The sequence below is a fragment of the Homo sapiens genome, chromosome 16 (assembly GCF_000001405.40).
Source record: "Homo sapiens chromosome 16, GRCh38.p14 Primary Assembly".
NCBI classification, from domain to species: domain Eukaryota; kingdom Metazoa; phylum Chordata; class Mammalia; order Primates; family Hominidae; genus Homo; species Homo sapiens.
This window is the reverse complement of record NC_000016.10, coordinates 57,428,187-57,455,053: the sequence shown is the minus strand read 5'-3', so window position 1 is coordinate 57,455,053 and position 26,867 is coordinate 57,428,187. Positions and strand designations below refer to the sequence as shown.

The 26,867-nt window shown below is 44.2% G+C and overlaps 2 protein-coding genes across 4 annotated transcripts in view, besides 1 other annotated feature; one reads left to right on the top strand and one right to left on the bottom strand.

Moving 5' to 3' along the window:
* The window catches only part of COQ9 (coenzyme Q9), a 13,792-nt gene extending 6,217 nt beyond the window's left edge, over positions 1–7,575 (bottom strand). The window contains exons 1-3 of the mRNA NM_020312.4: positions 7,476–7,575; positions 3,846–4,014; positions 2,118–2,253 (exon numbers count right to left, since the gene is read on the bottom strand). Of these exons, the coding sequence (NP_064708.1) occupies positions 2,118–2,253; positions 3,846–4,014; positions 7,476–7,548 (378 nt within the window). The 5' untranslated portion in view covers positions 7,549–7,575. The remainder of the gene's footprint in view (positions 1–2,117; positions 2,254–3,845; positions 4,015–7,475) is intronic.
* Positions 7,463–7,757: an enhancer, noted in NCBI's record as "tiled region #5957; HepG2 Activating DNase unmatched - State 1:Tss, and K562 Activating DNase unmatched - State 1:Tss". NCBI's record gives its function as "activates a minimal TATA promoter and a strong SV40 promoter by Sharpr-MPRA in HepG2 and K562 cells {active_cell/tissue: HepG2 | K562}" and the evidence as "EXISTENCE:reporter gene assay evidence [ECO:0000049][PMID:27701403]".
* On the top strand, positions 7,669–26,867 carry CIAPIN1 (cytokine induced apoptosis inhibitor 1). 3 transcript variants are annotated; one of them, NM_001308347.2, is made up of 9 exons: positions 7,669–7,712; positions 14,071–14,282; positions 15,759–15,872; positions 18,322–18,398; positions 20,842–21,010; positions 22,494–22,567; positions 23,788–23,903; positions 24,715–24,796; positions 25,774–26,867. In NM_001308347.2, the coding sequence occupies exons 2-9, from the start codon at positions 14,126–14,128 to the stop codon at positions 25,882–25,884; spliced, it is 900 nt and encodes a 299-aa protein (NP_001295276.1). In that variant the 5' UTR covers positions 7,669–7,712; positions 14,071–14,125; the 3' UTR covers positions 25,885–26,867. The 3 variants fall into 3 exon arrangements, with proteins under 3 accessions (NP_001295276.1, NP_064709.2, NP_001295287.1); NM_020313.4 differs by having other exon boundaries at positions 15,720–15,872; NM_001308358.2 differs by lacking the exon at positions 23,788–23,903 and having other exon boundaries at positions 15,720–15,872.

Sequence of the window (26,867 nt, the reverse complement as noted above, 5' to 3'; positions counted from 1 at the left end):
AGCCCCCAATGAGTCTCTCTCTGCCTCCAATCCACTTTTCATCTGGCAGCCAAAATGAGCATTTTGAAATGCCAAATTTAATCCAATATCTTCAATTGTTCTTAGAAGAAAAGCTTGACTCCTCATCATGACCTTTAGGACCTTGCCTGATTTGACCTCGACTGACCTTTCCAGCCTTGCTCATCTCAAATCTCTCTTCCTGCACTCTCTGCATGGTGGTTCTCTGTGGTTCTTCTAACGTACCATCCTTCTTTTTCTTTCCACCTTGCCTGTGCAGTTTCTGTATTTGGACTTGTCCATCTCCTACCCACAAAGTCAGGTAAAGCCTATTCATTCTTCAATTCTCAGCTCAAAAGCCTTTCCTGACCACCCTGTTACCCACCTCATATATGGTTTCAGACAAGGTCTCACTCTGTTGCCCAGGCTGGAGTGCAATGGCATCATTATGGCTCACTGCAGCCTTGACCTACCAGGCTCAAGAGATCCTCCCACCCCAGCCTCCCAGGTAGCTGGGACCACAGGCAAGCACCACCATGCCTGGCTAATTTTTGTATTTTTTGTAGAGATGGGGTCTCTCCCTAGGTTGCCCAGACTGGTCCCAAACTGCTGGGCTCAAGCAATCCCTCTGCCTTGGCCTCCCAAAGTGCTGGGATTATAGGCATGCGCGACTGTGCCCAGCCCTCCAACCCTTTAATAGGACAAATTAGACTATTTGTCATAGTTTAACAGGCAACATGTTTTCTTTTTTTACTGATGTACTTAAAAATGGTGCTTCTTACAACCAATGGCATCTTAGAGTCAATGAAATATGGTAGTTTTGATCACAGACAATTCTTGCCAATAGGTTGCCTTTAGAACACAACTCTCAAGAACCAATTCCATGGTTCATTACTTTTATATCTACAAAATAAAGCCATTTCCACCCTATTGAGGGAAAAAAACCAGTCAATCTCGCAGCTGTGACCTGATCTAATGATCGGGTCCCTCCATTATACAGCCCAACAGCACCTTTCCTTGATAGCACTTACCACATCTTCTAAGTAAACATTTGTATATATTTTATTAATGTTGCTAGACTGGAAGCTCAACAAGGGCAGGAAGCAGATCCATCTTGACCACTTTGACCCCTGTCATGTCTCTTGGACTAGCACAGTGCCTAGGGCACATTATTTGCTCAATAAACATTTAAAGAATGAATCATATAAAGGGTTTTAATTGGAAAGATCTAGGCATAAATGTTGATAGTATGATCTTTGGTGTGATTATAGGTGTTTTCTACATTCTTTTTTATATTTGTTTGTATTGTTCAGTTTTCACAATGAGCCTACAGTGGAGTCAGAGCACCCACATTTCACTAATGAGACTTCTGTTACCAAATGTGCACTTGGGAGTGAGAGAAGACAAGGAAATAACAGTTAAATTTCAGTAAAGCAGCAACCTTGCCCATTGTCCATGGGTAGATGCCCTGCAGCAAGCCTGGGATGGAAGATGCAACTCTGTCATCCCCTCAGTCTCTTGGAGGATGGTATCTTGCTATGCTGGAGGATTCTCTACAACATGGCCTGAACATGAGCCTGCTGCCTAATCTAAAGCAGCAGTCTGTACTAATGCAGAAAATGCTATTAGAGTTTCTGGGAAAATAAGATGTGTTGGTCTCCAAAGTGGTGCCTTCTTGGGGGTTTTCAAACACCATATGTCATTAATTCTAAGATGCAGATATATTTTTCATTTTAAAAAATCAGTGTGAATCACAGAAGTGCTTTGTCATAGTTCGAAGGGCAGTATGTTTTCTTTTTTACTGATGCATTTAAAAATGATGCTTCTTACAACCAATGGCATCTTAGAGTCAATGAAACATGGGAGTTTTGATCACAGACAATTCTTGCCTAATAGATTGCCTTTAGAACACAACTCCCAAGAACCAACTCCATGGTATGTTCTTTATAACTACAAAATAAAGCCAGTTCCACCCTATTGGGGGAAAAAAACCAGTCAATCTTGCAGCTGTGAGGGGCTCTGAGCTAGACTGGAAGAAGGCATGAGGCCCCCCGCTCTGCCTGGTGTGACTCCATCCTGGCTCATCTTGGTTAGGTGGCCCCACCCTCACCTATACACACCTGGGCTCCTTCTGCAATCGCCTCTGCTGTCCACCCGTGGGCGGGCACAAACTCAAGGGCTGCCGTCAGGATGCGGTGCTGCAACTGCTCCTCACTTTCATAGTCCTCCTCCTCCTCGCCGCCCTGGTCTGTATACCTGAGACAAGAGGACACAGCCCAGCATACTTCATCTCCTGGCATGTACAATGGGCATGACCAGAAACTAGGGGCTCTGGATCTCCTCTAAGCACATGCTGGGAAGACATTTACTCTTGTGTCACTATCAATGTGGTTTTCTTGTTTGTTTTTTGTTTTTGAGACAGAGTCTCCCTCTGTCGCCCAGGCTGGAGTCCAGTGGCGTGATCTCAGCTCACTACAACCTCCACCTCCCGGGTTCAAGCAAGTCTCCTGCCTCAGCCTCCTAAGTCGATGAGACTACAGGCGTGTGCCACCATGTCCGGCTAATTTTTGTATTTTTAGTAGAGACAGGGTTTCACCATGTTGGCCAGGCTGGTCTCGAACTCCTGACCTCAAGTGAGCCGCCTGTCTCGGCCTCCCAAAGCGCTGGGATTATAGGCGCGAGCCACCGCGCCCAGCCAGTATCAACGTTTTAATGCCAACAGAGTAAAAACTAGATCATCCTTCCCCTCCCCATAGGCACGGAGAGGAATCCAGCAAATGAGGCCATGTGGTATGAAGGCATTGCTGCACCCTGGAGTTCCCTGTTTTCAGCCCTTAGCACACTGTGCTCAGAGGGTTTCTTCATCTAAACTTACACCAGACTACCTCCCTGAGGGCAGGAGTAATGCTATATTACTCACAGGGCCTGGCATGATAGTAGGGCCTCAAAAAATATTTCTTGAATTGAAATGAAAAGTACTTTAGTTAGGAAATCAGAAAAATGAAAAGGAACACGCTAATTTCAGATATAGAGAAACTTTTCAATGGCAGGATTAGGAAAAAAAAACACTAATGGAAATGTAAATTAGTATTACCTTTCTGGAGGGCAACTGGCCCACATAAGTAAAAAATCTTTAAATGTACATATCCTTTGACTCAGTGCTCCCACTTCTAAGGAGAGATTCACACACTTTATCATATTATTTCTTATACTAGTGAAGGAAATCTAAATATCCATCAATAAAAGACAGGTTAAATAAATTTTGGCACAGCTATTTGCTGGAATGTTATACAACTATTAAGCTATGAAAAGACATTACAAATGTACTGTTGAGTGAAAAAACAGGTTCTAGAACAGCATGTAGAGTTTATACACATTATATCTATTCTATACAAAAATTTACATATGAAATAAGCTTAGAGAAACATCTAAAAGGATATTCACAAAAATGTTAGCAGGGTTATCTCTGTAATTTTGGATAAAACTGCTTTATTTTTGTGAACTTCTCTATACTGTTTAGGTGTTTTAGAACAAACAGGCACCAATTTTATAAAAACAATAGGTTCTTTCCTAAGACAGCCTTGTGGCTGGGTGCAGTGGCTCACACCTGTAATCCCAACACTTTGGGAGATCTAGGCGGAGGACAGCTTGAAATCTAGGAGTTTGAGACCAGTCTGGTCAACGTAGCGAGAAGCCATCACTACAAAAAATAAAAAATTCTAAAAAACAAAGATGGCCTTGGAAATGAAGGAAGGTACAAAAGGGGATGGAGAGGAGAGAGGAAGTGAAGGAGGAACAGACATAATGAAGCATATGAAGTGGCCAGAAATAGGTGGATTGGTGCCTACCTGGGGGGTGAATGAGAAGACTCTGGATCAGGTTTTTCTGCCCCCTGTGTCTCAGAATGCTGCTGAGAAAATGAGTTGGGAGGCTGCTGCTTCTGCTCATCTGAAGACCTTAGCCCCACAGCTGAAGCATGGAAGGCACGCGGCACCAGGGCTTGTCGGCAACGGGCCACTGAAACAGAAACTGGTCAGTCAGGGACATTCAACAGAGAAGACCCTTTCAGACCCAGAGTGGTAACACAGATAAGGAGGAGGAAAAGCAGGCCAGAGACTCCTGTAGAACCACTTATCCAAGTGTTGGGTCCCACACAAAAATATTGGGTAAACTGGGAACTTTGGGACACGAAGTGGTAGCAAAAGTGGTAAGCCAGGAAAAATGATCTACCTAGCATCTTGACCTGTTTCTACCACTTGTTACCTGGGTAACTGGCAAACAATTTCACCCCAATGTGCAGATTTTTAAATCTGCAAATTTAGAGTAATAATCTCTACTTGCTCAATGAGAGCACTGTGTGGCCCAAACAAAAAGTAAAAGTGGCTTGCAAATGTTACAGATTTATATATATTATGGCAAGAGCTCTGGAATAGTAATTTAATGTCTCAGCCCTACTCCCCCAGTGTTTATATGGTATCTTTGGACAAGTCACTAATCTCTATCTGCTTTCTCATCTGCAATATCTGCAACATCTCCATTTACTTTAAGAAAGATGAGAAGTATGTTTCCTAAGCATAAACTCATAGTATTTTTTATTTCCCAACATTTTTTATTCTAAAAATTTTCTTTTTTTTTTTTTTTTTTGTCAGAGTCTCACTCTGTCGGCCAAGCTGGAGTGCAGTGAGATTATCTCGGCTCACTGCAACCTCTGCCTCCCAGGCTCAAGTGATTCTCGTGCCTCAGCCTCCCGAGTAGCTGGGATCACAGGCACCCGCCACCACTCTCAGGCTCACTTTTGTATTTTTAGTAGAGACGGAGTTTCGCCATGTTGGCCAGGCTGGTCTCAAACTCCTGACCTCAAGTGATCGCCCGTCTTGGCCTCCCAAAGTGCTAGGATTACAGGCGTGAGCCATCATGCCCAGCCTATTATAAAAATTTTCAAACACGCAAATTGAAAGAATTATGGAATGAACACCTGTATATCTGCCACTAGGTTCAACACATCTGTCATGTTCTTCATTCATCCATCTTGATTTTCAGTGCATTTGTTGCAGATATCAGTATTATTCACCTCTAAACATTTTAGCATCAAAGACTTCTACGTTCACTGTTTTGTTATTCAGATGCCATTTACACACAATGAAATGCATAAATCTTAAGTGTACCATTCTATGAGTTTTGACAAATGTATACACTTGCACAACCTAAACCCAATCTAAACAGAGAACATTACTGTCACCCCAGAAAGTTCCCTTATGCCTTTTCAGTCATTCCCCATTCATACTGTTCTGAATTTTTCACTCTAGGTTAGTTTTTGCTTGTCTTAGTTTTGCCTGTCCTAAGATTTCATCTATATGTACATGTTTCAGTAAAGCTTCTTTCACTTAGGACTATATATGTGTGTGTATATATATATATTTATTTATTTTAAGTTTAAATAGAGACAGAGTCTTGCTATGTTGCCCAAGATGGTCTTGAACTCCTCGGCTCAAGCAACCCTCCCACCTCAGCTTCCCAAAGTGCTGGGATTACAGGTGTGAGCCACCACACCTGGACCACTTAGTATATTTTTGAGATTGATCCATATTTTTATGCCTATCAGTATATCTGGCAAAGATTCTCTCCTTGATCAGGCTCTAACCAGGCTCCTCTGAGCCCTCTTCTTATCTAGGCCTCAACCTTGGCCTATAAAGACTTGAACACACACTAACATAAGCATCACTCAGGGCCACATCCCTTAAGATAACCCTACCCCCCTTTAAAGTGCCTGCCTGAGAAAACTCAAGGCTGTCAAAAAAAATTTTACTGTTTGTTCAGGCTAACACTTAAGAAGGATAGGGCTTGTCTCCCTGTGGGAAAACAGAATCCTAACTTTGTTAACTGCCAGCTAGCAGACCAATCTTATTTATAATTATTCACTATCCTGACTCTACTGAGTCCCCACCTGCCTTCCTCCCTCCTCCCTCATTTTTTCTTTGAAACACCCAGTGACTTCTGCATGCTCTAAACTCAAGGTTGGGCTCCGTTCATGCTAGACTCTTTTCCCTATTGCAATAGTTATTACTGATTAAAAATGGTCCTTATCACTTTAGTGTCCAGCTTTCTCTTTGACTGATTTTTAGTTTTTATTGCAGAATAGTATTCCATAAAAAAAATACTATTCTGTTGCTAGACAACTGGACTGTTTCTGTGTTTGGCTACTATGAATAAAATTGCTATGAATATACTTGTACTAACTTTTTTGTAGACACATACCTTCATTTCTCTTGGTGGATTTGCGGGGTCATAGACATTACTTTTACTACACATCTTTAGTTTGGAATTTTGTATAAATACAACAAAAGGGGGCTAGGCGGTGGCTCATACCTGTAATCCCAACACTTTGGGAGGCTGAGGCAGGCAGATAACTTGAGGTCAGGAGTTTTGGACTAGCCTGGCCAACATGGTGAAACCCCGTCTACTAAAAATAAAAAATTAGCTGGGCATGGTGGCACAACCCCAGCTACTAGGAAGGCTGAGGCAGGAGAATCACTTGAACCCAGGAGGTAGAGGCTGCAGTGAGCCGAGATTGTACCACTGCACTCCAGCCTGGGTGACAGAGTGAGACTCTGTCTCAACAACAAAATTAAGCCAAGTAGGGTGGCACGCACTTGTAGTCCCAGCTCCTTGGGAGGCTGAGGAGCCAGACCCTGTCTCAGAAAAAAAAAAAAAAGAAAAAAAAGAAACAGAATAGTATGTGCCAAAATATCAATATTTTAATACATGTACTGAAAGATACGGCACAAATATCCGCAAAACTTTGAAAAGGAAGGAGCAGATGCAAAGTATGACTGTAGTACCACTGAGGGTCATGAGAAGATTTTAGGTGAAATACAGGTGAACGTTTCATCAGTTATGTATGTATGCTAAAGTGTTAATGCATACGTTCTAATTAAGGAAGGCGATATTAGTTTTCCATTTATGACAATGATATAAAGTTTCCTCTTTAAGAACTCCTATTTAAAAATAAAAATACTGAGTACATAGTGGCAAAGGTGGTAAGAGAGTATCACAGAATTCGTGAAGTGGTGAGGAAACGGCTGGCTTTCGGGAAACAATGGACTAGGCTCTCTGTGGCCGTGTCCACCTGTCCTTCCAGTGGACTTGGCAATGGACTTGAGAATGGGTCTGCGACTGCCAGTTCTGTAACCAACAGGCTCAGGCTGCGTGACTTTCGTACCCCGAGCCCTCTCTGAGGCTCTGCCAACTCCATGAAATGGGGGTGACAGGCCCTGCCCCGCTGCATCTGCCCCTCACAGACAGCGGAGCAGGGCCGAAGCTAGCCAGGCGGCTCGCCCGAGCCCGCGCCGATGCCCTTCACCTCACCTTGCTCGTGGGCCGCCCCAACGGCCTCTTCCCCCCACCGTCGAACCCAGCTGAAGCCGGCCTCGCGCCCCCTCCGCGCTCCCCGCCTCTCCCCGGCTTGGCAGCCCCCTCACCGGGCAGGCATCGCAGCTGCAGGAGCCTCCAGCCCGCCCGGCCAAGCGCACCAGATACCGCCGCCGCCGCCATTTTGGAAGCGGGCACGTCGCCCACGGCGACGCGACCGGTAGCTACGGGACCACGGCCCTAAGGAGGGCGGAAGTCGTCGCTCCGTGGAGCCTCCTCCTCTCGCGAGAGGCGCAAGGCGTGGAGTCGACGGCTGGAGAGAAGCCGGGAGCGAGCCCAGGCGGCAGGTGAGAGTGGTGGGGGCCAGCTGAGCGCCAGAGCTCCCTCAACTGTCCCCTCCCGGCCCACCCTCGTTCCCACATCCTCTCATTTTCTCTTCCCACCCCGTTCCTCGATGGGAACGCAGCCACGGCCGCCCCGCTGAAAGCCCCGGCTGGTTTATTCCTGAGAAGTCGGTGTGAGGGGCCAGGGCCGGCCCTAACCTCCCTGGGGTCCTGACTGGGAATTTCTGCCGTTCCCCGGCTGCCTCGTCCCTTGCGCAGCCGGCCCTACTCTGAGGCCCCGGGGACACCACGCTGAGGAGAAACGGCTCCGAGCTTGGGATCGGGGAGACCTGGTTCTGAGACCCGGTCCTACCAGTAGCCAATCGTTGTGACCTTGGGCCTCAGTCCCCGTGACGTTTTGGTCCCTGGGGGTTCCTGGCAGCAAAGCACGAAAGCCTTGGAGTCGGGGGGTACCTGAGCTCACGATTGTAATTTCGAACCTGCAACTTGTCCGAACCCCCAGCGTGTTGAGTTGATATAATTAAGTATCCAGATCGGAAGGATGCTTGTTACTAGAACAGACAGCTAGGCCTTTGTCCAGAAGGATTGATTGAGTGGGTCTGGGTGTGGTCCAGGAATCTCATTTTAACCACTCCCTCGGGTGATTTGTAGGATCTGCAAGTTCGGGAAAGGCTGGTGCCCTTCATTCTGACATTACTGAGTGCCAAGCTCTGGATGGCTCAAGGAGGTCACGGTCTAGCCACTAACAGAGCACTTCACGGGGGTGTCATCAGAGAAGGCTTAGTAGGAAGAAGTAAACGGTTTTTGGGCTAAGAGTAACTGACGACAAGAGCATGTGATTCTGTCGATTTTGTGTTTGCAGTCAGACCCCATCATTGTGTCTGTTAAAGTTGTGCTTTGCACACCCCTTGTCAAATCTAGTCTTTTCAGAATATCCGGCTCCCCCCTGCACGGGTGCGGGGAAGACCTCCTAAGCCAAAACTTACCCCAAAGGTTAAAATTTTAGATCCATATTTCTGGTTTTAGGTAAAACACTCCTCTCCATAAGGATTTGTTTCTGAGTTCTATCCATCCATCTTTGAATGAGCCTTTCCTGTGGAAACTAACATTTGGGTATCCTTTCTGAAACCCTAATTCCTGACACACGCCAAATGCCTGGAGACGTTCCTGTTTCATTGTTGATTCTCACTTTTTAAAAAAAATTCTGGGCCAGGCTCATGCCTGTAATCCCAGCACTTTGGGAGGCTGCGGCGTGTGGATCACTTGAGCTCAGGAGTTCGAGACCAGCCTGGGCAACATGGCGAAACCGCATCTCTACAAAGAATACAAAAATTAGCTGGGTGTGGTGGTGGGTGCCTGTAATCCCAGCTATTTGGGAGGCTGAGGCGGGAGAATCGCTTGAACCCCGGAGTCGGAGGTTGCAGTGAGCCAAGATTGTGCCATTGCACTCCAGCCTGGGCAACAGAGCAAGACTCTGCCAAAAAAAAAAAAAAAAAAAAAAAAAAAAAAACCTCTAAGGTCTTAGTCTAAGTGTCTAGACAGAGCGTTCTCTTGAGGGCAGGGAACAAGTGTCTTCTTGTCTGTCTCCCGTGTAGGGACAGGCACATAGTAGGTTTCTTAGGTCTCATTTGCAGGTTGTAATTGTGCCTTCCTACCATTCTGCTAAAGCTGGCAGGGAAACTGAGGCCCAGAGAGGGGCAATGGCTGACTTGGATTGCACAGCAGGCTGGTTAGGCCCACTTGGTACTGGTCACCCAGAGGCCAGGCAGTGACATGTATGTGCACAAGAGCTTCAGTTAGTTAATTTTATGTTTTTAATTTAATTTTTTTTTATTTTGAGATGGAGTCTCACTCTGTCTCCCTGGCTGGAGTGCAGTGGCAAGATCTTGGTCCACTACAACGTCCGCCTCCTGAGTTCAAGCAATTCTGCCTACCTCAGTCTACCAAGTAGCTGGGATTACAGGTGCACGCCACCATGCCCAGCTAATCTTTGTATTTTTAGTAGAGACGGGTTTTCTCCATGTTGGCCAGGCTGGTCTTGAACTCCTGACCTCAGGTGATCCACTTGCTTCAGCCTCCCAAAGTGTGGGATTACAGGTGTGAGTCACTGCACCCAGCCCAGTTAGTTAATTTTAATTAGGATTTTCCTTTCTGATAACTGTCAGTATTCTTGGAACTCTTTTATGCACCCGAGTTAAAGAATTTTTTGAACTGAAGCCCAAACTTCAGTGTTATTTTTTGCTTTTGTCCCCTTTCACCAGAAGAGAGACCAAATGCCTCAAGATTTGATGCTTACTGGGCACCTAAAAAACAGTCTGTTCTCAGACATCCGCTTTTACTGCCTGCCAGTAACATTTTAGAAGGGCCATGCACATGTGTGTGCCTCAGTCAGAGTTGGAGAGGTACCCAACAAGCTCAGTGACGTGACAATGATGCTACCTCTTATTATGAAACTGGGTCCTGACTCACAGCTTCTAAGCATGTTGTCTTAGATACTGGACACTTTTTCCTTACGGGTTTTTTTGTTTTAAAAGACAAATTCACAACAGCAACATAAAATTCTGATGATGAAAAGTATCACACTTTGGCTTTAGATATTTAAAAGAATATTATCTCCTATTTTATTTGAAAAATGCTGACTGAAAGTAGTGGCTATGCCTGTTTTTTGAGGGTTGATGTTTAATGAATGTAGTTCATAAGCTCCTCTTGCCATAAGATTAGTTTTGGGAGATACGGAACGCAAAGCATTTTACATTCTTCTAATTTACTGACACAGTCCCACTGGAGTACTGTCCAAAGATCATAAAGCGCAGCTCTTACACTAATTCTAACAATGAAAAAGCAGGTTCCCATCACTCCCTGGAGTGTCCTCCTATCAGGCATGGCTAAGGAGAAGCAGGGTTTTATAGGACTGCTTGAAGCAAAGGCAGGTAAACTAGCCACAGAGAAGTGGAAGCCCAGAGTTCTAGAACATTACTTTACAGAGCTCTGTGTGCCAGAGCCTGCCGAGTGCCTTGCTTATTTTTATCTTCTCATTTGCTTCTTACAGCAGCCTCGCAAAATATGAGGTTTTTATCCCTACTTTACTGATGAGAAAACAAATTCAAAGAGTCTAGTAACTTATCCATGGTCATGTGCCCATAAGATCCAGTGGTAAATAGAACCCTAGGTCATCTGCACTCAAAACCTGTGCCCTATAAAAGCCTCCGTAAATGTTGCTGAAAAGGTCTAGACATTTGGCTTGTTTTCTCTAGCTAATAAGTAAGCTTTTGCCCTTCGTTTCCTTTATGAGGGTTTTTCTGTAAGTACAGTGCAAAGTTGTGGTAGTCTAGTAGGTGGGGTCTTTTTCATCCCTTTCTATTGTCCCAAGGAAGAACCTATTCCAACATCATTCTAGAAACAGGTCATTTTTTTTTTCTTATAACTTAATGCCCAGCAATCCATACTCCCATCTTGCCTGGCTGGTTCTTAAATGGGAGATTGATCCCATATTGCACACCTTGAAGTTTGCAAGGGTTCTTCCTCGACATCATGTGCCAGTTAAAAGTTTCAGTTCTTGATTGTGTGCTGTTTAGGGATTTAAAAACCAAAATTGGCCAGGCACGGTGGCTCATGTCTGTAATCCCAGCACTTTGGGAGGCCGAGGTGGGCAGATCACTTGAGGTCAGGAGTTTGAGAATAGCCTGGCCAACAACTCTGTTGCTACTAAAAATACAGAAATTAGCCAGGTGTGGTGGCGTCCACCTGTAATTCCAGCTACTTGGGAGGCTGAGGCATGAGAATTGCTTGAACGCTGAAGGCGGAGGTTGCACTGAGTTGAGATTGTGCCACTGCATTCCAGCCTGGGTGACGGAGTGAGACTCTGTCTCAAAAAACAGAACAAACAAACAAAAACACCACAGAATTAGCTGGATGCCGTGGCTCACACCTGTAATCTCATCACTTTGGGAGGCTGAGGCGGGTGGATCACCTGAGGCTGGGAGTTCAAGACCAGCCTGACCAACATGGAGAAACCCCGTCTACTAAAAAAATACAAAAGTAGACGGGCATGGTGGTGCACGCCTGTAATCCCAGCTACTCAGGAAACTGAGGCGTGAGAATCGCTTGAACCCGGGAGGCAGAGGTTGTGGTGAGCCAAGATTACACTCCAGCCTGGACAACAAGAGTGAAACTCTGTCCTCCCCACCACCCCCGCAAAAAAAAAAAAAAAACAAAACCAGAATTATTGTCTTTTTAATTATTTTTTTTTCTTTTTTTTTTTCCATTTTTACTTGCCCTCTGTCATTAAGGAAAACAGAGTTAAATGACTAAAGAATCCTACTTGTCTGATAACACTTAGCATCCTTTTAGGGGCGCTTGCAGTTGGATCATATGGAAGGAGCTAGATAAAAGGCATGATGAGGGGAAAATGCAAAGGGTTTTCATAGAATAAGGAGGGATCACTTTGGAATGGTGGGAGATACAGGTAGAGCCAGATTATGGAGGCCGTGGATCCAGAAGGCCAATTGACATCAGTCTAGCAAATAAAACCTTTAGTAACTCCTTTAGGAAAAGAGTGACAAATCAAAGTGCTATAGTATTTAATGCTTGAGTGTTAAATATTTAACATCCTGAGTATGTTTTGTAGGCAAAGAGGAGAGTTACTTGAAGTGAACTTTGGTTTTTTTGAGACAGGGTCTGGAATGTAGTGGCACAATCTTGGCTCACTGCAGCCTCAACCTCCTGGGCTCAAGCAGTCCTACCACCTCAGGCCCTCTCCTCCACCCCAGTAGCTGGGACTACATAAGATTACTACATAAGACTACCATAGATTCTGTCACCACGCCCAGCTAATTTTTGTATTTTTAGTAGAGATGGGGTTTCACCACGTCGCCCAGGCTGGTCTTGAACTCCTGGACTCAAGGGATCCACCTGCCTCGCCTTCCCAAGGTGCTGGGATAATAGGCATGAGCCACCACGCCCAGCTATAATTTTTTATTTTTTATTTATTTATTTATTTTGAGACGGAGTCTCGCTCTGTCACCAGGCTGGAGTGCAGCGGCACGATCTTGGCTCACTGCAACCTCCATCTCCCAGGTTCAAGCGATTCTCCTTCCTCAGCCTCGTGAGTAGCTGGGATTACAGGCATGCACCACCACACCCAGCTAATTTTTGTATTTTTAGTAGAGATGGGGTTTCACCATGTTGGCCAGGCTGGTCTCAAACTCCTGGGCTCAGGCAATTCGCCTGGCTCGGCTTCCTAAAGTGCTGAAATTACAGGTGTGAGCCACTGTGCCCAGCCGAAGTCAACATTTTAAAAGAAACAAGAGTGTAGTGACTTCGCTTGAATTCAGTCTGTATCTGTGGTGGCATGATTGCCACTGAGTTGGCCACCTCTGCAGAAGTCTGAAGTGTTCAACATAAAACTAATCCATTTTGACTCCTCTACCACAAATTGTTTGTTTCATTTATTTGAGCTATTTTAAATTGGAAACTGGTGTCATTAATGTTTAAGAAAGAAAGGAGAAACTGAGTAGAGTACTATCTCTTGACCTAATTTCTTTGTGAGCATATTATATACTCACCTAAGTATCAAGTGGAAGAGGAAGTTGATCCCTGGAGGGAAATTTCCATAGGTTAAAAGCATGGGATTTACAGTCAGATGAATTTGGGTTCAAATCCCAGCTCTCACTTTATCCATGTAGCACTCACTAGCTGTGTGACTTGGGCAACGTAAATTGCCTCAGTTTCCAGACTGTAAAATGGTAATAATATCTAGTTTAAGGCTGTTCTGAGATTCAGTTGAGATAATGTTTAGAAGATGCTTTGAACAATGTAGCTAATATTAAATGGTACAGACATAGTAAGTATTCTTGATCACTGCAGATTCAGTGGAATTAAATTTTCATATTTTGATGAAAGGGAAAATAACCAGTATTCAGTTTGCAAATTTAAATGTGTTGTTTCTTTTTAAAAACATTGAATCTGTGGTTGGGTTATTTCTGTCAATTTATTTGCCTTCCTTGCCAAGTCACACTTTGCCTAATTGATGTCCTGTGTGTTTTCCATTCCGTTCATGCTGAATTATCTTAGGTCAAAGAGGAAATCATCTTTCTGCCTCCAACCTTCTTACTTGCCTCTAATCCCCTTTCTTGACTCTTCCAAGTCAGGATTCTCACCAAGGAAGCTATCTGCCTTCTTTGGGAATGTTGGGCTTATGAAGACTTGAGATAATGGGGTTCATGTATTCAGACTCTTTAGCATATACAGTAGAGTTTCTAATGTTGTCAGCATTCCCTAGTGGGCGGTTACAAGTTAGGTTGGGATTCTAATCATATTTTATGATATCTCACAGATTAAATTGCACTTTGTCTCTGCCCAGTCTTGATTCCCTTTTGGCCAGCAGTTTTTAGGTCTGTCAGTACTGCACTGCAAGAATGGCAGATTTTGGGATCTCTGCTGGCCAGTTTGTGGCAGTGGTCTGGGATAAGTCATCCCCAGTGGAGGCTCTGAAAGGTCTGGTGGATAAGCTTCAAGCGTTAACCGGCAATGAGGGCCGCGTGTCTGTGGAAAACATCAAGCAGCTGTTGCAATGTAAGTACCCACCCACGTTGTCTTTATGAGGCTGGAGGGGTTTCCATGGGAGTGTTGCATTTCTGTGGTTCCTTGATATCTGAGTTTTCATTTAGGGTGGCATGTGATAGTGGTGGCTGGTCACCCTGTTGTTTTTCAGTTGAGATATATCGGAGGAACCACCCCCAATAATTCAACGTAGGTTCTTTTCTATTTTCCCTAAGTGTCGGCTGGTCTGAGAAATAAAGGGAAAGAGTACAAAAGAGAGAAATTTTAAAGCTGGGTGTCCGGGGGAGACATCACATGTCGGCGGGTTCCGTGATGCCCCTCAAGCCGCAAAACCAGCAAGTTTTTATTAGTGATTTTCAAAGGGGAGGGAGTGTACGAATAGGGTGTGGGTCACAGAGATCACATGCTTCACAAGGCAATAAAATAAGGCAAACGGGGGCAGAGCGAGATCACAGGACTGGGGCGAAATTAAAATTGCTAATAAAGTTTCGGGCACGCATTGTCATAGATAACATCTTATCAGGAGACAGGGTTTGAAAGCAGACAGCTGGTCTGACTAAAATTTACTGGGTGGGAATTTCCTCGTCCTAACAGGCCTGGGAGTGCTACGGGAGACCAGGGCTTATTTCATCCCTTATCTGCAACCATATAAGACAGACATCCCAGAGTGGCCATTTTAGAGACCTCCCCCTAGGAACGCATTCTCTTTCTCAGGGCTGTTCCTTGCTGAGAAAAAGAATTCAGTGATATTTCTCCTATTCACTTTTGTAAGAAGAGAAATATGGCTCTGTTCCGCCTGGCTCTCAGGCAGTCAGACCTGATGGTTATCTCCCTTGTTCCCTGAACATCGCTGTTATCCTGTTCTTTTTTCAAGGTGCGCAGATGTCGTATTGTTTAAATGCACATGCTTTATGAACAATTTGTGCAGTTAACGCAATCATCACAGGGTTCTGAGGCAACATACATCCTCAGCTTATGAAGATGACGGGATTAAGAGATTAAAGTAAAGACAGGCATAGGAAATCACAAGAGTATTGACTGAGGAAGTGATAAATGTCCATGAAATCTTCACAATTTATATTCAGAGATTGCAGTAAAGACAGGCGTAAGAAATTATAAAAGTATTAATTTGGGGAACTAATAAATGTTCATGAAATCTTCACAATTTGTGTACTTTTGCCATGGCTTCAGCCGGTCCCTCCGTTTGGGGTCCCTCACTTCCTGCAGCAGAGCTTAGGAGTGTAGTTGATGATTTCCATAAGTATGTTCTTTCTTGGTAGCTATTCCATGTTTTTTTAAAACACTTACTATTCATCCAGCTTCTTGGATGGATATCGAGTGGTGTCCATTCTCTCAGGGTGAGGTCTGTAGCTTTTGTTGGGGGTTGGAAGGGACCAGGAGATTATCCCAGGCTCAGGAGATTGCTAATTAGAGTCCTCTTCTTTTCAGCTGCCCACAAAGAATCCAGCTTTGACATTATTTTGTCAGGTTTAGTCCCAGGAAGCACCACTCTGCACAGTGCTGAGATTTTGGCTGAAATCGCCCGGATCCTTCGGCCTGGTGGATGTCTTTTTCTGAAGGAGCCAGTAGAGACAGCTGTAGGTAAGGAGATCTTCACTTGGAAAACATGTTTGACAGGGTTGAGTCTTAGAGTATGTGTGCTGCATCTCCGTGAGCAGGAGGTATCATTGGGAGATCAGTATTCCTGTAGCAAAACCTTTTCCTTGGGGATAAATTATTGTTAAAATCTGAAGCAACATATCTGGAGAAATTGTAATCTTTGGCTGACTCATTATGTAATAAAATAGAAGGAAACTGCCATCTAAAAATGGGTCCTTTTGCAGGTGAATAAACTTTGATATGTTCATAATATGGAAAGTGATGCAGCAATAAAAATGAACTAGCTAACTATATGTACATCAGCTTGGATGGATATCAAGGGAAGTAGCTGAGTGAAAAAAGCCAATCTCAAAAGGCTCTGTACTGTACAAATCCATTCATATGCTCGAAATAACAAAATTGTGGCGGTGGAGATCAGAGTTTGCCAGAGGTTAGAAGTGGGAGGAAAGGGTTGGTGGAGCTATAAAGGGGTAGTATGAGGGTTCCTGTGGTGATAGAACAATTCTGTGTTCTGAATGTCGTGGTGGTTACACAAATCTACACATATAATAAAATTACATAGAACTATATAGCCCCCTTCTGCCAAACGAGTACATATAAAAGAAATGAAATCTGAAAAAGTTATGTGGACCATCAATATCAATTTCCCGGTCTTCATATCATGCTATAATTGGGTAAGATGTTAACTGTGGGGAGGGACGAAGTGAAGACCTCCTTAATATACAGAACTTTTTTTTGTTTTTTCCAACTTCCTGTGAATCTATAGTTATTTCAAAATTAAAAGTTTAAAAATAGTGGCCGAACCCTGGGAATGATGTGGTAATTATTGATTCATGTGAAACTAATGACAGTGTTCATGAAGTAAAAACTTTTTTGATCGGTGGTATAGCTGTCAGAGTGATTCAAGTCTGGATTTTTAATATTTTTCACTAGACTTTCAGTCAAAACATAACCATTTCATCAAATAGAATAATAGAAATGAAAGTATTTTGAAATGTATAAAGGTGTTCATTGTTTATTTGGAAATAGAACTTTGTGTTATGTGTAGTATAAATCAGCATTCTTTGCTGGGAATTTAAACCTTACATGACTAAATGTAGTGTCTTAGAACTATACAGAGATAAAAAAGGAACTATTCAGAAGGAATACTTGTGTTTCTGTGCACTTTGCAGTTCATAAGCCTCTTTTCATAGTCATTATCTCACAACCTCTGGAAGGGGTTTCAAGAAGCAGAGAGTGATAAAAAAACAATAATAATGGAATTATAACATTTAAGAGCTTAGGTAAAAACACTTCGAACAACAAAAAGGATTTGTCAAATTAAAATAGTATCGCTATGGCCAGGCACAGTGGCTCACACCTGTAATCCCGGCAGTTTGAGAGGCTGGGGCAGGCAGGTTGCTTGAGTCCAGGAGTTCGAGACCAGCCTGGGCAACATGGCGAAACCCCGTCTCTACAAAAAATACAAAAATTAGCCCAGTGTGGTAGTGCACACCTATAACCCCAGCTACTTGGTGGGGGCTGAGGCAGGAAGATTGCTTGAACCTGGGAGGTCGAGGCTGCAATGAGCTGAGATCATGCCACCGCACTCCAGCCTGGGTGACAAAGTGAGACCCTGTCTCAAAAATAATAATAATAATAATAATAATAAAATAATATCACTAAAATATATATACAATTGTCCTCATCTTACAATGGAGTTACATCCTGATAAATACTATTAAGATGAAAATGCATGTAATTCATCTAACCTACTAAACACAATTGCTTAGGTTAGCCTAGCCTACCTTAAACACGCTTAGGACACTTGCGTTAGCCTACAGTTGGGCAGAATCATCTAACACAAAGCCTGTTTATAATAAAGTGCTTAGTATCTCATGTAATTTACTGAAAACTGAAGTATACAGTTTCTACTGAATGAGTATTACTTTCATACTATCATAAAAGTTGAAAAATTATAGGTAGAACCATCATTAAGTCAAGGACCATCTGTACATTAAACAGAATAGGTTATTATTTTTTTTTTGTTTTTTCTTTGAGATCAAGTCTCACTCTGTTGTGCAGGCAAGAGTGCAGTGGTGCAATCTCGGCTCACTGCAACCTCCGCCTCCCAGGTTCAAGCGATTCTCGTGCCTTAGCTTCCCAAGTAGGTGGGATTACAGGCGTGTGCCACCACGCCTGGCTATTTTTTTTGTGTGTATTTTTAGTAGAGACGGGATTTTGCTATGTTGGCCCCAGATTGGTCTTGAACTCCTGGCCCCAAGTGATCTGTCCACCTCAGCCTCCCAAAGTGCTGGGATTACAGACATGAGCCACCACGCCCACCTGGTTATTATTGTTTGAATGCCTGCGAACCCATATAGGATTGAGCCTTTATTATTTTTCCTACTTTGAACTATAAAGCTATTAATTGGGATTTTCCTTTTGGCAGATAACAATAGCAAAGTGAAGACAGCATCTAAGCTGTGTTCAGCCCTGACTCTTTCTGGTCTTGTGGAAGTGAAAGAGGTACGTTTGTAGACAACTTTCTTTGCTGCCCTGCAGGTGAGGTAATCAGTATTGCTTAGAACTAGGAAACAAGAAATGCTGTGCATGTAAGATACATGATGCTTCAAAGGACAAAACTTGGGAGAATCGGCCGGGTGTGGTGGCTCACGTCTGTAATCCCAGCACTTTGGGAGGCCGAGGTGGGTGGATCACGAGCTCAGGAGATCGAGACCATCCTGGCTAACACAGTGAAACCCCGTCTCTACTAAAAATACAAAAAAATTAGTCGGGCCTGGTGGCAGACGCCTGTAGTCCCAGCCACTCAGGAGGCTGAGGCAGGAGAATGGCGTCAACCTGAGAGGCGGAGCTTGCAGTGAGCCGAGATCACGCCACTGCCCTCCAGCCTGGGCGACAGAGCGAGACTCTGTCTCAAAAAAAACAAAACAAAACAAAAAAAAACTTTTGAGAATAACCAACTTCAAAGAGACTCAGCTTGGCCCATGTGGGCTGGGGCTTGTTCTTGTCTCCTTGGTACTAGTTTAGTGGTGGTGACAGCTGAGGGGCATGAGCAGCAGCTCTGCTGCTTCCAACACCCACCTCTCAGTAGACCCGAATCCTAGGCCTGGGTGAACACTGCCATCTAGTTCAGCCTCACATTTTTGGTGGGAGGCTGGAATAGGTTAGAGGGCAAAGTTCCTTTTCTGACAATTCAGTGGAAATGTTTAAATTAAGCAGAAGTATTTATATTTCTACACTCTTTGATCTTAAAATTTTCTTGGATGTGGGAGAGGTAAATGTTACAGCATGATAGCTGTTGTGCCTGTTATTTCTTACATAATGTAGGGCCTTAAATTCTTTGTTTTTTAATTTTTTTTCTTGTTTTTGGAGACAGTCTCGCTCTGTTGCCCAGGCTGGAGTGCAGTGACACGATCTCTGCTTACTGCATCATCCGCCTCCTGGGTTCAAGCAATTCTCCTGCCTGAGCCTCCCGAGTAGCTGGGATTACAGGCGTGCGCCACCACACCTGGCTAATTTTTTGTATTTTTAGTACAGATGGGGTTTCGCTATGTTGGCCAGGCCGTTCTCTAACTCCTGACCTCAGGTGATCTACCCACCTTGGCCTTCCAAAGTGCTGGTATTACAGGCGTGAGCCAGGCCTTAGATTCTTTATGCCAGGCCTTAGATTCTTTATGCCAACCCTTTCTTATTTTTCCTTTTAGCTTAAGGTTTTCTGTGCTTGATTTTAAAATAAGGAATGTGTATTAGGCCATTCTTCTGTTCCTATAAAGGAATACCTAAGACTGAATAATTTATAAAGACAAGAGGTTTAATTGGCTCACTGTTCTGCAGACTGTACAGGAAGCACGGGCCTGCAACTGCTTGGCTTCTAGGGAGGCCTCAATGAACTTTTACTCGTGGCAGAAGGTGAAGCAGGAGCAGGCACATCACATGGCAAAAGCAGGATCAAGAAAGAGAGGAAGAGTCGGGGTGGGGAAGGTGCCATACTTTACAACCACCACATCTCATGAGAATTCAGATGGTGCTAAACCATTCATGAGAAATCTGCCCCCATGATCCAGTCACCTCTCACCAGGCCCCACCTCCAACATTGGGGATTACAGTTCAACATGAGATTTAGAGGGGACACATATCCAAACTATATCAGACTCCTCATAAAAATTCACTTTACACCAAAGCATACAGAATATAAAGTGACATCCCACTTCTTGCTCACACTTCCCTCCCCAGAGGAAGCCACCAATGCCTTTTTGTATGTCCGTTCAGACCTTTTCCTATGTATTTACAAGCATCTACATGCACATACTTTTTTAAAAATGTAAATAAGATCATAAGTATACATTGTTCAATCACCTTTTTTCCCACCCTTAGATATCATAGACACTTACCTACTTCAGTGTATTTCCCTTCATTCATATTAATGATGTAATAGTATTCCATACAATAGATGGACTGTGATTTATGTAACCAGTCTATAATTATTGGACATAGAGGTGGCACCCTGACCCTTTTTTTCTACCTTTACTCTCTGCTACTTTATCCCAAGGAACATAGAAAGGATTTTCCTCCCCCTTTTTCTTTTGGGATATAAATTTCTGCTGTCTTCATTGTGGGCATTCTTTCCTGTTACACAGTAGGACCACATCTGGTTCATTTTCATAATTGTATTACATCCCAAATAACTAGTATATGCCTCATCCCTAATGTTTTTTAAGTACTTTTACATTTTCCAAGGGGTAGGCTCCAAGTAAACATGCAGACAAAGGTTATACTCTAGGGTTCTGATCAGTGAGAAACTGAATGTGAGGCATAAAGTGTTATCTGTTACCATCCACTGTTACATCCTTAATGCACAGAAATGAGTCTTTGACTCCTGTGTAGGTAGACATAGTAAACCATTTTACAGAGGAGGGTGAACTAATCCTTTTGATGTCTTGAATTCTAGCTGCAGCGGGAGCCCCTAACCCCTGAGGAAGTACAGTCTGTTCGAGAACACCTTGGTCATGAAAGTGACAACCTGCTGTTTGTTCAGATCACAGGCAAAAAACCAAACTTTGAAGTGGGTTCTTCTAGGCAGCTTAAGCTTTCCATCACCAAGAAGTCTTCTCCTTCAGGTAAGGCTGGCCTAGGGACATTCTTCTGTTTGAATGGGCTTAGAGGGACATGTTAGAAATTGAGCCAGCAATAAATGAGATGGTGATATTTTTAGAGGATTAGTCCTTTGATTTCTGCCATTTCCACAAAGAAGAATACTTAATGTACTATTATCATGGGCATATTAGGATCCAAAACTGAAATAATACATAGGTATTATCTAGTTCAGCTCCTTCTTCTGCACCAGAAGATACCGAGGCCTCCTAATTTTACAGGACTGAGTCACACAGTTTAATTAATGAGGTCCTTCCAGGTCCCAGAATTAACGTTTCTCCTCAGAAGACCTCACAGTGTAGTGGTAATGGTGTATGAGAGTGCCCTGTTCCTGTTCTCATGTGCTTTTTTCCCCATGCCAGGAAAATCAGCTGTTCTTACTTTGAGGATGCTAAGACACTTATAAAACTATATTTCTTCTGACTAGAAAATTGTGTACAAGCACACGCGTGCACGCACGCGCACGCACACACACACACACACACAGCTCCATCCTCATCCTTCCTATCCCTATTTTTAAATGCCTGAATTGACCCAGCTGTGAGGTATGCAGACATTAACAGATATTTACTGGTACATTCCCACTTGTACGGTTTTGACTGTCTAACCTAAATCTTCAAGAAATCCTTTGGAATCTAACCTTTCGATTCATGGTTCCAGAATGGGTAGGAATAGCTTAGAACAGTTGGCCTTGTGGAAGGTATGAGCATCCAGCTGTGACAATGATCACTAGAGGGTACTCTTACCCCAAGGGCCTGCGAGGATTTGCCCACACTGCATCCGAGCCTCAGCTCTCTGCCTCTTCCTTGCATTCTCCTGACTAGACAGAGAACCAGGAAGTGTGAGGTTTGTCTGCCACTGATGGTGTTACCTTGCCACCAGCAGCTCTAGAGCCTATTTTCTTGTATGTAGCAGGTTTACATGAGGCTAAAGCTCTGCTATTTTTGAAGGTTTTGACACATTTCTCATTTAATCCTCAAAACACCTGCAGTAACATAGGAAGTACAATTTAACTTCATGTTATAGAATGGAAACTAAGGTATCGAGGAGGAAGCAATATGGAATGGAGGTTAAAAGCATCAGACAGGCTTTGCAGCCTGTGGAACCAGCCTAAGTGTCTAAACCTGTTTCCTCAGCGGTAAAAGTAGGATGACAGATAGTTACCTCATAAGGTTGTCAGCAGAATTAAGTTAGATAATGTATATAAGTGCTTAATATGGTGCCTGGTGCAAAGCAAGAGCTTAGCAAATGGTGACTTCTGTAACTATCAGCAAGTGGTTGGCCCAAGGTCAGACCTCTCAGAGGGGTAGAGCTGGACTGTGAACCCACATCTTCTGCCTCCCAGGCCAGTGTGTTCTCTTCTACACAGCAGGAAGCATTTATGTATGTTTGTAATTAATAGTTTCTGACTGTGTTTATGGAGTTTTTTCTTTTATTGCTTGGACTCAGTGAAACCTGCTGTGGACCCTGCTGCTGCCAAGCTGTGGACCCTCTCAGCCAACGATATGGAGGACGACAGCATGGTGAGCTGGCAGCATTGTCACTTGATTGCTTTCTTTCAGGCCCCAGTTTGGGTGTGAACAGCTATAGTGACCTTTCTGGACTTGTAGGTGTGAACGTATTTAAAGCCCAGATTTGTGACTATGCCTGTCACATCTTTGATTTAGAAGGAAACTCCATGTTGGTGGCTTTTTTTTTGGAGACAGTCTCGCTCTCTTGCCCAAGCTGGAGTGCAATGGCACAATCTCGGCTTACTGCAATCTCTGCTCCCGGGTTCAAGCGATTCTCATGTTTCAGCCTCCCAAGTAGCTATGATTACAGGCATGTGCCACCACACCTGGCCAATTTTTGCGTTTTTAGCAGAGACGGGGTTTCACCATGTTGGCCAGACTGGTCGCAAAACTCCTGACCTCAAGTGATCTGCCCGCCTCGGCCTCCCAAAGTGCTGGGATTACAGGTGTGAGCCACTGCGCTTGGCCATGTTGGTGGCATTTTAAATTTTTTAGCATCTCTTTTTCCCCACATAATTTCTTGTTCTCACTTCATACGATATGTTGAAAACTCTTGTGGGCATGTGTAAACCTGAAAAGATTTTGTCAGCTTAAATAGTTTTATTGGCACCTTTGGGCAAGTTGCTGACTGTTCCATGCTTTAAAAAGCACTATTTTCTATCTTTGGCCATGTCTGTAATAAAGTTCTTCATTTCTACACCTCTACTATTGAAGTTAGAGTAGTGAGCAAAATAAGTGAGGTTCATGCTCTCATAGGGTTTACAGACTAAGTGTCTACACATTTACAAAGAATTACATAAAGGTATATATAATTATTTGATTTTTATCTGGGATTATGTAAAAGATATTTTATTCCCTTTTTCACGTGACTCTTCATAAACACTTCTCTCTTTCTCTGTTCTGCCTGTTCCCTCCCTTCTCCCCACTCCTGCCCCCAACCCCCAACATGTGTATATTCTCTACACATTGCTGGCCAGTCATACAGCTTTTTCTCATGTAAATTTGTTTCTAATTCCTTTGCATCCTAGTGCATCTTCTGTGGATGTAGTTTAACTCACCGTTGGCCTCTTGAGCATGTGGTCAGGTTGAACATGATGATCAACCAAAAGGAGGACAGGGTGGACACCTTCTTTACCCTGGACTCCAAGTTTCCTCTCGAAGCCTGCAGTCACTTTAGCTTTTCATTAGCAGAGACCACGACTGTATCACTCATTGCTTTGAACACTCTCCAGGATCTCATTGACTCAGATGAGCTGCTGGATCCAGAAGATTTGAAGAAGCCAGATCCAGCTTCCCTGCGGGCTGCTTCTTGTGGGGAAGGGAAAAAGAGGAAGGCCTGTAAGAACTGGTGAGTGCTGGGGTGACTGGAGCCTGCCATGCTGCCTCCAGTGGCTTCATGCTGAAGACATCGCGGTGCTGTACTATTTTTAGAACATACATTTTCCAGGCTGGGCAACACAGGGAGACCATCTCTGCAAATAATTAAAAAAAAAAAAAAATTAGCCAGGCATGGTGGTATGTACCTGTGGTCCCAGCTACTTGGGAGGCAAAGGCAGGAGGATCACTTGAGCCTGGGAGGTCGAGGCTGCAGTGAGCCGTAATTGTGCCATGTATCTAATTTCACTCTCCCTCAAAACCCTACCAGTAAGCCACTATTGTGCCACTGCACTCCAGCATGGGCATCAGAGCGAGACCTTGGTGTCTTCACATTTGTTTTTATAAATGGATGGGAAGGATTGTAGAAAGTTAATCAGTGATGTTCATCATCAGCGTTAATCATCAGTGTTTTTTAAATGTAAAAGCTGCCAGCATTTACAAATCAGGAAATTTCAAGTGAAAACACAGATTTTTTTCCCTTCTGTTCTTGAATTTGGAAAATATGGCAATCTGGGTCCACTTTCCCCAGCATGATAACCAGCTGAAGCTTGAGTAGTGGCTGCCCTCTGTAGACAGAGCACACACGGTACTTCCCTCATCCTCCTCCCACTTCTGTCTCCCTCAGCAGCCTCTCATATTGCTGCTGTCTGCCTGGCCTATAGGCTTCTGAGTTATGACACTGGTGTGAAGAGAAAAGGCTTAAAGCACATTTTGGCACTGTTAGGATTTGGGATTTCTGGGTGGTGACAATTCTCGTTCATTAGTTACTGATTTTCCCGCAGCACCTGTGGCCTTGCCGAAGAACTGGAAAAAGAGAAGTCAAGGGAACAGATGAGCTCCCAACCCAAGTCAGCTTGTGGAAACGTAAATATCAGGATCATTCCTCAGCATTCACAAACCCCCAGGGGGATTAGACCTTCTTCTAAACTAAACACAGACAAGCTCCACCTCAAATATTTTAGTAACAGACGAATGCGTGAGCACACGAACGTAGGTAGTAATGGGGAGAGAGGCTGTCTCCTGAGAGTGAGAGTGGGTTAGCGTGCTTGTGCTGGTCAGGGAGGGTCTTGTTGCTTTTTATTTTTGGCCCATTTCTTTGTACTTCAGAGTGGGACCTGATGGTTAGACAGTTAGCTAAAGTTGGTTGTGTTTTGAACTGCATAGAATATAGAACTATGGCCGGGCGCAGTGGCTCACGTGTGTAATTCCAGCTATGCCAGAGGCTGAGGCGGGAGAATCACTTGAACCTGGGAGGTGGAGTGAGCTGAGATCGCACCACTGCACTCCAGCCTGGGTGACAGAGGGAGACTCCATCTCAAAAAAAAAAAAAGGCCGGGTGCGGTGGCTCACGCCTGTAATCCCAGCACTTTGGGAGGCCAAGGAGGGCGGATCACGAGGTCAGGAGATCGAGACCATCCTGGCTAACATGGTGAAACCCCGTCTCTACTAAAAATACAAAAAAATTTGCCGGGCATGGTAGCGGGCGCCTGTAGTCCCAGCTACTTGGGAGGCTGAGGCAGGAGAATGGCGGGAACCCAGGAGGCGAAGCTTGCAGTGAGCTGAGATCGCGCCACTGCACTCCAGCCTGGGTGACAGAGGGAGACTCCATCTCAAAAACAAAAAAAAAAGAACTATGGCCTCCTAGGGAACTTTTCATGACTATAGTTTTTCACGAAACCAGAAATCTTGAAAACTCTTAGTATTTTGGTCTCAATTGGACCTGCAAACATAGCCATTTCCTTCAGGCCACTGTGGCCACATTATGAAATTAGGCATTTCTTTCTTCTGGCTGGTATGCCTGGGATAAGCTGACCCTTGGCTTCCCCATTCTCTCTCTCCAGTGCTACCTGGGCGATGCCTTCCGCTGTGCCAGCTGCCCCTACCTTGGGATGCCAGCCTTCAAACCTGGGGAAAAGGTGCTTCTGAGTGATAGCAATCTTCATGATGCCTAGGAGGTTCCTGACATGGGACCCATCTGCTCCTCCAGCCAACTCCTGTCCCTCACATCCCACCATGGTGGCTCCTCCCACCTCCTCTGGATTTGTTCACTCTGAGATCTGTTTGCAGAGTGGGTGCTTAGCAGACAGAGTGAAGCTGGCTGGGGGGCACAGTGGTGTGTAGTGCTGCTGTGTATCAAAAGACCAAGGTATTATGGGACCTGGTTTCAGAATGGGATGGGTTTCTTCACCTCATGTTAAGAGAAGGGAGTGTGTCCTGAAGAAGCCCTTCTTCTGATGTTAAAATGCTGACCAGAACGCTCTTGAGCCCAGGCATCGTTGAGCATTAACACTCTGTGACAGAGCTGCAGACCCCTGCCTTGAGTCTCATCTCAGCAATGCTGCCACCCTCTTGTCTTTCAGAGTTGTTAGTTTACTCCATTCTTTGTGACACGAGTCAAGTGGCTCACAACCTCCTCAGGGCACCAGAGGACTCACTCACTGGTTGCTGTGATGATATCCAGTGTCCCTCTGCCCCCTTCCATCCCCAACCACATTTGACTGTAGCATTGCATCTGTGTCCTGTTGTCATTTATGTTAACCTTCAGGTATTAAACTTGCTGCATATCTTGACATATCTTGAGATTCTGCATGTCTTGTAAAGAGAGGGGATGTGCATTTGTGTGTGATGTTGGATAGTCATCCACGCTCAGTTTGGACCATTGGAGGAACTTAGTGTCACGCACAAATGGGGCTATTCCTACGCTTAGAATAGGGCTTGTCTGCCCACTTTAGAAGAGTCCAGGTTGGTGAGCATTTAGAGGGAAGCAGGGCAGAACTCTGAACGACAATACGTCTCTCTGAGCAGAGACCCCTTTGTTCTTGTTATCCACCCATATGGACTTGGAATCAATCTTGCCAAATATTTGGAGAGATTGTGTGGATTTAAGAGACCTGGATTTTTATATTTTACCAGTAAATAAAAGTTTTCATTGATA

Coding starts and splice junctions, on each gene's coding strand:
- CIAPIN1 (NM_020313.4), top strand. CDS start 14,126: ATGGCAGATTTTGGGATCTCTGCTGGCCAGTTTGTGGCAGTGGTCTGG. Junction 14,283..15,719: donor CATCAAGCAGCTGTTGCAAT/GTAAGTACCCAC, acceptor TCTTCTTTTCAG/CTGCCCACAAAGAATCCAGC. Junction 18,399..20,841: donor GTCTTGTGGAAGTGAAAGAG/GTACGTTTGTAG, acceptor CTTGAATTCTAG/CTGCAGCGGGAGCCCCTAAC.